Consider the following 12404-nt stretch of genomic DNA (forward strand, 5'->3'; position numbering starts at 1 on the left):
TCTGAGGTGGAACAGTTTCATCCCAAAACAATCCCTGCCCCCCCACCCTCCCAGGCCTGCACCCCCACCCACTACCCCTGTCCATGGAAAAACTGTCTTCCATGAAACCAGTCCCTGGTACCAAAAAGGTTGAGGACAGCTGATTTAGAGCATACCATAAAATCATTTTTATATTTTCCTGTTTTCATATAACATTATACATAGTAAGCTTTTTCCTACAGCATTATCTATTCTTTGAAAACACTAAGCTTGGTACAAGTTTTAAAAATTAATTATTTTATATCTAGCCTATTCATCTTTTTTTCCCTTTTTGCTACCTGTTCCTCATCTAGCATCAATCCAGGAGTTAAGCTTTTTTCTCACCAATTCATTATATTTCACTCTCTAGTCCAGTGTTTTGTTTCGTGTTTTCAATTCCTTTTGGTTCTAGAGAAACAAGATCAATTTCAATCCAAGTCTCAAGCCTATCATTCCTGTAGCTTTAGATTGAGATAGTTTTTTAGATAATAACAGAAATGAACAATTATTGGATAAATGCATCAAGCACTGTGCTAAGCAGTTTCATATACTGTGTCATTTAATTTTCATAACACCTAAGTTAAGCAGCATAACAATTCCCATTTTACAGGTAAGGAAGTTAATGCTTTGAGACAAGTGACTACTTCAGACATATGACTAATAACTGGTAGAATAGGGATTTAAACTTAGGCAATTTGACTACAAACCCCACATTCTTAAAAGCTATACTATATTCTTCTACTTACAGCATAAGGTTAGTATGATTATTATCCCAGTTTCTGAAAAACCAAAGCACAAACAGTGTAGTGATTTCACTTTTTAATTATTTCCAGCACATCAAAATCTAATTAATATTGGGATATTGATTTTTATACCCAGCAAAACTGCTAAATTTTCTTATTAATTCTAACAATTTTTTAATAGATTATTTTGATTTTTCTACAAACATTATTGTATCTTCTGAATAATGAAGTTTTGTTTCTTCTTTTTCATTCCTTATATCTTTTGTTTCTTTTACTAGCTTTACTGGTTTATCAAGAACCTTGAATACAATGTCAAAAGAAATAGTGAGAGCAGTCAGCTTTGTCTTGTTCCTTTCTCATAAGGAAAGCTTTCAATTCGCCATTTTGTTTGTTTCCTGTAGATTTTTCAAAATGGATACCTTTTGCCTGATTAAGGCATTTTCTTTTTGTACCTCATTTACTAAGAATGTTTCTTCTTAATGCACGTCAAATGTTATAGAATGCTTTTTCTACATCTCGACATAATCATATAATTTTTCTTTTTAATCTTTTAATGGGATGAATTTCATTAATCTAGTGTTCAACCAATCTGATATTCCTAGGACAAAAGTGATATATTATGCTTTTTATATGTTGTTAGATTCAGCTTCACAGTACACTAAGATTATTTAAAATTATTTTTATAGATTCGGGGGGTACATGTACAGGTTTGTTACACAGATATATTGCATAATGGTGAAGTCTGGGTTTTTGGTGTGCCTATCACCCAAACGGTGAACATTGTACCACTTGGTAACTTTTCAACCCTCACCCCAACCTCCTTGCCCTTTTGAAGGTCCCTATGTCTATTACTTCCCTCTGTATGTCCATGTGTTCCCATTGTTTAGCTCCCCCTTTTTTTCCCTGACAATTATTCCTTCATAATAGCTCCCACTTATAAGTGAGAATATGCGGTATTTGATTTTCTATTTCTGAGTTATTTTACTTAGGATAATGGCCTAAGGAAAGACGTAATTTCATTCTTTTTTATGGTTGTGTAGTATACTATGGTTTTCTTTATCTAATCAACCATTGATAGACCCTTAGGTTGATTCCATGACTTTGCTATCATTAACAGTGCTGTGATAAACATATGAGTACAGGTATCTTTTGATATAATAATATATTTTCCTTTGGACGGATCCCCAGTAGTTGGATTGCTGGGTCAAATGATAGCTCTGTTTTTAATTCTTTGAGAAATCTCCATACTGTTTTTCCATAAAGGTTGTACTAATTTCCATTCCAAATAACAGTGTATAAGCATTCCCTTTTCTCTGCATCCTTGCCAACATATTGTTGTTTTACTTTTTAATAATAGTCACTCTAAGTGGTGTGAGATATCTCATTGCAGTTTTGATTTACATTTCTCTGATGATTAGTGATGTTGAGAATTTTTTCATATGTTTATTGGCCACTTGTATGTCTCCTTTTGGCAAATGTATATGTCCTATGTGTACTTCAAAAAAAATTTTTAAGTATATATAACCAAAAGACAATGTCCACTTTTTAATGGAGTTAATTGGTTTTTCCTTGTTGAGTTGTTTGAGTTCCTTATAGATTCCAGATATTAGTCCTTTGTCGGATGCACAGTTTGCAAATATTTTCTCCCATTCTGTAGGTTGTCTGTTTACTCTGCTGATTATTTCTTTTGCTGTGCAGAAGCTCTTAATTAAGTCCCATTCATCTATTTTTGTTTTTGTTGCATTTGAGGTCTTAGTCAAAAGTTATTTGCCTAGGCCAACGTCCAAAAGAGATTTCCTAAATATTCATCCAGGAATTTTTATGATTTTAGATCTTACACATAAGTCTTTAATCCATCCTCAATTAATTTTTGTATATGGTGAAAGATAGGGGTCCAGCTTCATTCTTCTGCATATGGCTCTCCAATTTTCCCAGCACCATTTATTGAACAGCATATCCTTTCCCATTGCATATTTTTGTTGACTTTATTGAAGATCAGTTGGTGTAGGTATGCGGTTTTATTTCTGGGTTCTCTATTCTGTTCCACTGGTCTATGTGTCTATTTTTGTATCAGTACCATGCTGGTTTGGTTACCATAGCCTTATAATATAATATGAAGTCAGGTAATGTGTTGCCCCCAGCTTTGTTCTTTTTCTTAGGATTGCTTTGGCTATTTGAGCTCTTTTTTGTTTCCATATTAATTTTAGGATTGTTTTTTCTAATTCCATGAAAAATGACATTGGTAATTTGATAGGAATTGCATTGAATCTGTATATTGTTTTGGGCAGTATGTCCATTTTAACAATATTGATTCTTTCAATGCATGAGCATGGATGTTTTTCCATTTGTCTGTGTCATCTATCATTTATTTCATCAGTGTTTTGTAGTACCCCTTGTAGAGATCTTTCACCTCATTGGTTAAATGTATTCCTAGGTATTTTATTTTTTTGTGGCTATTGTAAATGGGACTGAGTTTTTGATTTGGTTCTCAGCTTGAACGTTATTGGTGTATAGAATGCTACTGATTTTTGTACATTCATTTTGTATCCTGAAACTTACTGAAGTCATTTATCAAGTGTAAGAGTCTTTTGGAAGAGTCGTTAGGATTTTCTAAGTATAAGACCATGTTATCAATGAACACAGGAAATCTGACTTCCTCTTTTCCAATTTGGATGCCTTTTATTTCTTTCTGTTGCCTGATTGCTCTGGCTAGGACTTCCAGTACTATGTTGACTAGGAGTGGTGAGAGTGGGCATCCTTGTCTTGTTCCAGTTTTCAGGAGTAATGTTTTCACCTGTTCCTCATTCAGTATGATGTTGGCTGTGGTTTTGTTGTATATAGCTTTTATTATTTTGAGGTATTTTTTGATGTCTAGTTTGTTGAGGGGTTTTATCATGAAGGGATGTTGGATTTTACCAAATGCTTTTTCTGCATCTATTGAGGTGATCATGGATTTTGTTTTTTAATTCTGTTTATCTGGTGAATCACAGTTACTGAAGCATCCTAGAAACCCTGCAATAAAGCCCATCTAATATTGATGTAATATCTTTTTGAAGTGCTATTGGATTTAGTTTGACAGTATTTTGCTGATGATTTTAGCATTTATGTTCATCAGTTATATTGGCCTTTAGTTTTTGTTTTTTTTTTTTCTTGTGTCCTTGCCTGATTTTGGTATCAAGGTGGTACTGCTTTCATAGAATGATTTAGGGAGGAATCTTTCCTCCTTGATTTTTCAGAATAGTTTCAGGAAGATTGGTACCAGCTCTTCTTTGCACATCTGGTAAAATTTGGCTGTGAATCTATCTGGTCTTGGGTTTTTTTTGGTCAAAAAATTTTTTATTACTGATTCAATCTCATAACTCAGTATTGGTCTGTTCAGGATTTCTATTTCTTCCTGATTCAGTCTTGGGAGGTTGTATGTTTACAGGAATTTATCCATTTTTTTTTTTAGGTATTCTAGTTTATGCATGTAGAGATGTGCACAGTAGTCTCTGAGCATCTTTTGTCTTTTTGTGGAATCAGCTGTACTGTCACCTTTATAATTTCTAATTGTGTTTATTTGAAACTTCTCTCTTTTTGATTAGTTTAGCTAGCAGTATATAAATTTTTCTCTTTTCAAAGAACCAACTTTTCATCTCATTTATCCTTTGTATCTTCTTATACTATATTACGAACTTATATTTGTAATATTTTCATAAGTATATTTCTTTTTTCTGTTTTTATTTTTATTTTTCCATAGGTTATTGGGGTACAGGTGGTGTTTGGTTACATAAGTAACTTCTTTAGTGGTGATCTGTGAGATTTTGGTGCACCCATCACCCAAGCAGTATATACTGCACTGTATTTGTAGTCTTTTATCCCTTGCCCCACTCCCACCCTTCCCCCCCAAATCCCCAAAGTCCATTGTATCATTCTTATGCCTTTGCATCCTCATAGCTTAGCTCCCACATATCAGTGAGAACGTACAATATTTGGTTTTCCATTCCTGAGTTACTTTACTTAGAATAATAGTCTCCAATCTCATCCAGATTGCTGCGAATGCTGTTAATTCATTCCTTTTTATGGCTGAGTAGTATTCCATCGTATAAAAATACCACAGTTTGTTTATCCACTCGTTGATTGATGGGCATTTGGGTTGGTTCCACAATTTTGCAACTGCAAATTGTGTTGCTGTAAATGTGTGTGCAAGTATCTTTTTCGTATGACTTTTTTCCTCTGCATAGATACCAAGTAGTAGGATTGCTGGATCAAATGGTAGTTCTACTTTTAGCTCTTTAAGGAATCTCCACACTGTTTTCCATAGTAGTTGTACTAGTTTACATTCCCACCAGCAATGTACAAGTGTTTCCTTTTCATCGCATCCACATCAACATCTACTGTTTTTTGATTTTTTGATTATGACCATTCTTGCGGGAGTAAGGTGGTATCGCATTGTGGTTTTGATTTGCATTTCCCTGATCATTAGTGATGTTGAGCATTTTTTCATATGCTTGTTGGCCAATTGTGTATATTCTTTTGAGAATTGTCTATTCATGTCCTTAGCCCACTTTTTAATGGGATTTTTTTTTCTTGTTGATATGTTTGAGTTTGTTGTAGAGTCTGGGTATTAGTCCTTTGTTAGATGTATAGATGGTGAAGATTTTCCCCCACTCTGTGGGTTGTCTGTTTACTCTGCTGACTGTTCCTTTTGCTGTGCAAAAGCTCTTTAGTTTAATTAACTCCCAACTATTTATCTTTGTTTTTATTGCATTTGCTTTTGGGTTCTTGGTCATGAAATGCTTGCCTAAGCCAATGTCTAGAAGGGTTTTTCCAATGTTGTCTTCTAGAATTTTTATAGTTTCAGGTTTTATATTTAAGTCCTTGATCCATCTTGAGTTATTTTTGTATAAAGTGAGAGATGAGGATCCAATTTCATTCTCCTACATGTGGCTAACCAATTATCCCAGCTGTGTCCAAGCAGAGAATCAAATCAATAACTCATCCCCTTTTAAAATAGCTGCAAAAAAATAAAATAAACTATTTAGGAAGCAAAAGATCTCTACAAGGAAAACAACAAAACACTGCTGAAAGAAACCTTAGATGATGTTAACAAATGGAAACACATCCCATGCTCATGGATGGGTAGAATCAATATTGTGAAAATGACCACGCTGCCAAAAGCAATCTACAAATTCAATGCAACCCCCATCAAAATACCACCATTATTCTTCACAGAATTAGAAAAAGAATTCTAAAATTCATATGGAACCAAAAAAAGAGCCTGCATAGCCAAAGCAAGACTAAGCAAAAAGAACAAATCTGGAGGCATCACACTACCTGATTTCAAACTATACTATAAGGCCATAGTCACCAAAACAGCATGGTACTAGTATAAAAATAGGCACATAGACCAATGGAACAGAAGAGAGAACCCAAAAAATAAACCCAAATACCTACAGCCAACTGATCTTTGACAAAGCAAACAAAAACAAAGTGGGGAAAGGACACTCTTTTCAACTTTCACTGGAGTCATGTACCTAAAAGGATTATGGCTGCCTCTGCCGAGTCATGCAGGTTGTAAGGAAAGTGGGGGAAAGCTGGCAGACTCAGGCCTCACCCAGCTCCCACACAATCCAAAGGGCTGGTCTCACTCCCCATCTAACAGCACTGAGTCTGTTTCCAGGCAGTGGGCAAGCAGGGCTAAGAACTTGCCCCAGGCTACCCACCTCCCAGCTGCATAAGGGCTTTAGTTCTTCCCCTGCCTGTGAAGTCTGCACTCCAGATTCCCACCCTCCCCCGAGTTCTGGCCAGGAGGCTTCTAGACTGGTTCAAATTGTTACAAAGTTCAGCTGCAGACTTTCGTCTCCCTGTGGTGTTTTCCCCATGCCTCTGGCCACCCTCTCGAAGGATCTCTGTGATGCTAGGCAGGAATGGCCTGCCTGGGGACCCAGCAAGCTCCCAGGGCCTTTCCTGCTGCTTCCTCCACCCATGTATTTCACATGGCTCTCTAAATTGACTCATCTCCAGGTAAGGTCAGAATCTTCTCCCACAAACTAGACCTCCAGTTTCCCCAGTGGGGGTGTGTGTTCCAGAATGGAGGATCTCCCTCTCCCATTTCCGCAGTTTGGGCACTCACAGTATTTGGGATGTCTCCTGTGTCCTGCAGGAGCAGTCTGCTTCCTTCAGAGGGTCTGTGGGTCCTCTTGGGATTCCTGATTTATTCCAGTAGTCATTCTGGAGCTAAAATTCACGACATGAGCCTCTGCATGCTGCTCTGTCCATCCAAGTCAGAGCTGCAATCTAGTCTGTGTCCCGTCCACCATGATGATCCTTAATCCTCATTATTATTTTTTTGTCTTAATCTCATTTAGTTCTGCTCAGATCTTTGTTATTTCTTTTCTTCTGCTAGCTCTGGGTTTGGTTTTTTTCTTGTTTTTCTAGTTCCTTGAGGTGCAACATTAGGTTGTGACTTTAAGATCTTTCTATATTTTAAAAAAATTTCTGCCTTGATTTCCTCATTTACCTAATGAACATTCAGGAGCAAGTTGTTTAGTTCCCATGTATTTGTAGAGTTTTGAGAGTTCCTCTTGCTACTGATTTCTACTTTTATTCCACTATAATATGAAACGATACTTGATATGATTTAGATTTTTTTGAATTTGTTGAGATTTGATTTATGGCCAAGCATATGATTTATTTTGGAGAACGTTCCATGCACAGAATGTCCCATGCACAAATAGAAAAATGTGTATTTTGCGGTTATTGCATAGAATGTTCTATAAGTGTGTCTATTAGGTCCATTTGGTCTAAAGTCTAGTTTAAGTCCATAGTTTCTTTGTTGATTTTCTGCCTTAATCATCTGTCTAGTGCTGTCAGCGGGGTTTTGAAGTCCTCCCTTATTATTGTATAGCTGTCTATCTCTTTTATTAGGTTGAGTAGTATTTGTTTTATAAATCTGAGTTGTCCATTTTGGGATGCATATATATTTAAGACAGCTATATCTTCTCCTTGTATTGAACCCTTTATTATTATATAATACATTCTTTGTCTTTTTACTGTTGTTGATTTAAAATCTGCTTTATCTGATGTAAATATAGCTACTACTGCTCATTTTTGTTTTGTGTTTGCACAGTGTATCTTTTTCCACTCCATTGAGTTTGTGGGTGTTTTTACCAAAGGGTGTCACTTGTGGGCAGAAAACGATCAGGTTTTGTTTTTTAATCCAATTTGCCTGTCTATATGTTTAAGTGGAGGATTTAGGCCATTTATGTTCAGGGTTAATATTGATATATGAGGGTTTGTTTCCGTCATAATATTGTTACCTAGTTGCTTTGTTGTCTCAATTTACACTACGATTTTTATATCTACATTTATAAATGAAATTAGCCTGTAATTTTTCTTTTCCATACTGTCCTTGTCAGGTGTTAGTATCAAGGGTATGCTGCCTCAAAAAATGAGTTGGGAAGTGTACTGAGTTGAATAGTGTTTACCCAGAAGCTGTGAGTGTGACATTTGGAAAGAAGGTCTTCGCAGATGTTATCAAATTAAGATGAGGTCATGCTGAGTTAGGGTGGGCCTATAGAAGATCAGGAAAATTTAGACATGGAGGAAAGAAAGCCATGTGATTAAAGTGAGACTGGAGTGATGCATCCATAGGCCAAGGATTGCTAGAAACCATAAGAAGCTAGAAGAGGCAAGGAAGGATTCTTCCCTAAAGAAAACAGAAGAAGAATGACCCTGCTGATATCTTGATTACAAACTTCTATCCTCCAGAGCAATGAGAGAATAGATTTCTGTTGTTTTAAGCCACTTGGTTTGTGGCAATTTGTTATGGTGCTCTAAGAAACTAATAGAGAAAGTGGCCCCACTTTTTTGATTCTCTGAAATGTTTATGTAAAATTGGAATATTTTCCTTGACTTTACAGTAGACCTTGCCAGTGGAGTCTTCAGGGTCAAGTATTTACTTGGTGAGATTTCTGATTACTGATTGAATTTCTTTAATGATTACAGAACTATTTGGGTTTTCTATTTCTTCTTGAGTTAATTTTGAGAAGCTATTTTTTTTACATGTTCATAATATTTTCATTATCTTTCTTTTTTCACTGTTACAATAACTTTAATTTATCTTGTATTTTACAGAAGTCTATGAACGATTTTAAAAAAGCACCTCTTTACCCCATATCATGTTTCTCTGACAGTTGTTAAAGTAGTCTATACATATGTCAACAGCTTGAGCATCAGCATCTTGCAAGGATTTCACACCAACCAGCCACTAGCCAAAGAACTTGGCAGCTTTTTTATCTTGCTTTTAATACAATGGTATATCCACTCTGATGGCAAACTGGTTTAGCCACATATCCACAACACGCTTTGAAAAATCAGTGATTAGCAAATTAGTTAGCTTTGGCACAGGGCTGTGCTCGCTTGCCCATGACAGTCTGGAAGCCAGTTTTGATACTGGCAACAGAACATCTAGAATGACAAGTTTCACACTGTAGGAAATAAGAGTTGCATGTCCTTCTGCAGGATTGTGTCCAGTGATCAGCATGTGTGACAAGTGACATACTCCTTGATAAATCTTAAGACATTTTCTATCTGTTTTTGTTGGAATCTTCCTTTACAAGTTGGTTATTACCATCTATAGAACCACTTGTACCCAATTCAACCAACAAAAATGCAAGTGTGCTGACAATATAATAGTTTACAGATATCTGTAAAGTTGACAGAAGAAGTTTTCTTGGTTCCTACTCAGACGACCTGTGGAGGTTGCATAACGAATTTCTTTTTCTCCCCAGCAACCATATCTGGATTCTTTTCCCTCATGATGTTGAACACACAATTCAGCAGCTCCTCTTATGTGTAGTCTCCTTCTGAGCCTGCCCAAGCAGGGCCTGTCTGATTACTGAATGAGATACCATCATCTTTTTTGCTATCTTCATCTTCTAGAGCTTCATCTTTCTCTAGTAGTTCATCCTCATCTGGGAACTTGACATTCTTCTTTTTCTTCTTTTTATTCCAAGCATAATGTCAAGGTCATCCTCTGGTTCAGCTGGTTCTTGAACATCACTTTCAATCTTAAGATCCTTTACAACTTCTTCAGCTTCATCAATATCAAATATCTTTTTTGTTTTTTTTTCTTTTTCTTTTGATTAAAGAAGTTCAAGTCATCTAGATCATCAGAAGCATCGTTTTTCCTACTGTCCTCATTGTCAGCTTCCAAATCTTTGTCCTCAGTTGGCTCTGGCTCCAGACTTTTGTTTCTGAGGGCTGCGTTTCCTGTTTGAGTATCCCCTTCCTCATCTAACATAAAAGGCTTCTTCTTCTTCTTTTCTTCTTGCTCACAGTAGGATCAAAAATCATCTCATCTCCAGATATGGATGCGATTCCAGTGGGCTCCGCATGGATGGGAAGTCAGACAGGTCAGCCCCCAGGCCCCGTGGCAGCGCTGCTCCTGCTGATACCTCTCCCACCACCGCACTAGGCTCTTGCATCAGCCAAAGGGCCATTATCTTTCTTAAAGGCTACAGTATCTGCAATGATATCCCTTTCATCATTCTTTATATGCATTGCTTGGTGCCTTCTCTTCTCCTTCAATCTCTCCAGAGTTTGTCAATTGTATTAGTCTCAAAAAACTAACATTGTTGTTCCTCTTGATTCAAATGTTTTCTATTTCATTAATTTCTCCTCTTTATTATTTCCTTTCTTCTACTTGATTAGGGTGTATTTTACGGTTAGTTTGTCAGTTCCTTTACATAAATACTTAACTCATTATATTTCAGCCATTTTTCTTTTCTAATATATATTTTTAAAGCTATAAATTTTCTGATAAGTTTTACTTTAGCTGCATCCCTCAAGTTTTATATTATGTTTTCATTGCCATTCAGTTCCAAATTTTTTCTAAATTCCATTATTTCTGTTTTTACTCAGAGGATATTGGAAATTAACTTCCAAACATATGAGAATTACTAGTTATATTTTTGTTATTGATTTCTAGCTTAATTGCATTGTTGTCAGATAATGTATTCTTAATGAAATTTATTTAGATAAGATTTTATAATTCAGTATCTGGTCAATTTTTGTAAATGTTCCAGATGTATTTCAGAAGAATGTATATTCTCCCATTTTGGGGTGCATTGTTCTATGTAAATGTATTAAGTCAAGTTTCATAATCCCTAATACTTTTTTAGAAGAATAATTTTTTCTGCCTCCAAACTCTAATTACATTCTCTCATCTACCTTCTTTCTTACAAAGAAATATCAAGTTCTTTATCATTCTGAGCACTCTTCCCATGCATCATCGTCATCATCTTGGGTGACAAACCTTAAATTTCCAAACAGTGAGTAAGCCATTTAATAACTGGTTAAGGTTTGGGACATTATATTAATCTCTCCCAGGCTCAAAATCTCTTCTTACCTGTAAATGAGGATTGTAGGACTAACTGAGAATTAACATATAACATGTTTAAAAATACTATTATTTTTATTATTATTATTTAATAAATAACCTACATGGTACTGGCATATAACAGGCAAGATAAATGGTAATATTATAATGATTCACATTTTTATATTTATTTATTGCCATGATTCTAACATCTGTGTCTTTTCAGACTACCATTAACACATATTAAATTTCTCTGGCTACAGTAAGGTTGAATAGGCCCCCATATCCATGTGACTTTTGTCAAAGGGTATAATGTATGAATATTAAGGAAAAGACGCCATATATGCCATTGAATAAATCACCATTTCAGCATACTTTTGCCATATTTTGTCAATAATTTTGCATCTTCACACAATAACCCAATAAAGCAGTGCCATGGTCACTGAGATGGGTGACTATCGGAAGAAAAATGAATTCTATTATAAGACTCTGTGTGAATTAAACAATAACATTTATTGACCATCTTCTTTGTGTAGGTACTGTAGTAGAGGCTTTCAGATATGTTATCTCGCTTAATGTCACAAAAACCCCTTAAAATAGATATTATTGTTCCCACTTTATAGATAGAGAAATTGAGGTTCAGGAAGTTAAAGAGATTTGCCCAAGCCCACATATGGTGGAGATACATGCAATGCAGGTATATATCAGCAGGTGTATAACAGCCATCAAGTCTGGAACTAAATATACTCTAAAAGCCCAATCCACAATAAAAGAGACTAAGCCCTTCTCTGGGTCTCTCTTGTAATTCCTGTCCCTTTCTCCACAGTGTTACTCATTCTCACTCAAGTCTGCCATATCCATTACCTACACTAAGTTATTACCAACAAGCACAGCTAATGCAGTATTGGTCTCAGTCTGTGGCTGGATTCCAGAGATGGTGGGAGAGGGTTAGACTTGAGTTACCTGCAGAAAATTTGCCCTCTGCTCCACAAATCACAATGGCTTTTATTGTATGGTCTATTACAGCTTTCTGTAGTCCTTCTTTTATGTCACGGAGTAAAGTCGTACTAAAAGAAAACAAAATACATGAAGTAAATCAGTCAGAATTAAATTCCTACCATTCAGAGTGTTTTCCTTTCCTAAAAATGAAAAATTAAACACACACATAATGGATAAAAACTGTAGATACTTCTCAATAAAGCTTCCAACAAATAATATGTCTACTATGACTATTAAATTTCTTCTACAAATAATATATATGCCTATGATTAATTAAGCAC

The 12404-nt window shown here is 35.6% G+C and overlaps 1 protein-coding gene and 1 pseudogene across 2 annotated transcripts in view; both read right to left on the minus strand.

The window, feature by feature from the left end:
- Positions 1–12404, minus strand: part of EHHADH (enoyl-CoA hydratase and 3-hydroxyacyl CoA dehydrogenase) — a 63426-nt gene that overhangs the window by 45703 nt on the left and 5319 nt on the right. For both annotated transcript variants that reach the window (NM_001966.4, NM_001166415.2), the window contains exon 2: positions 12088–12191. In NM_001966.4, the coding sequence (NP_001957.2) occupies positions 12088–12191 (104 nt within the window). The remainder of the gene's footprint in view (positions 1–12087; positions 12192–12404) is intronic.
- On the minus strand, positions 8840–10241 carry EIF2S2P2 (eukaryotic translation initiation factor 2 subunit 2 beta pseudogene 2; annotated as a pseudogene).

Source organism: Homo sapiens, chromosome 3, assembly GCF_000001405.40.
Source record: "Homo sapiens chromosome 3, GRCh38.p14 Primary Assembly".
Lineage (NCBI taxonomy): Eukaryota > Metazoa > Chordata > Mammalia > Primates > Hominidae > Homo > Homo sapiens.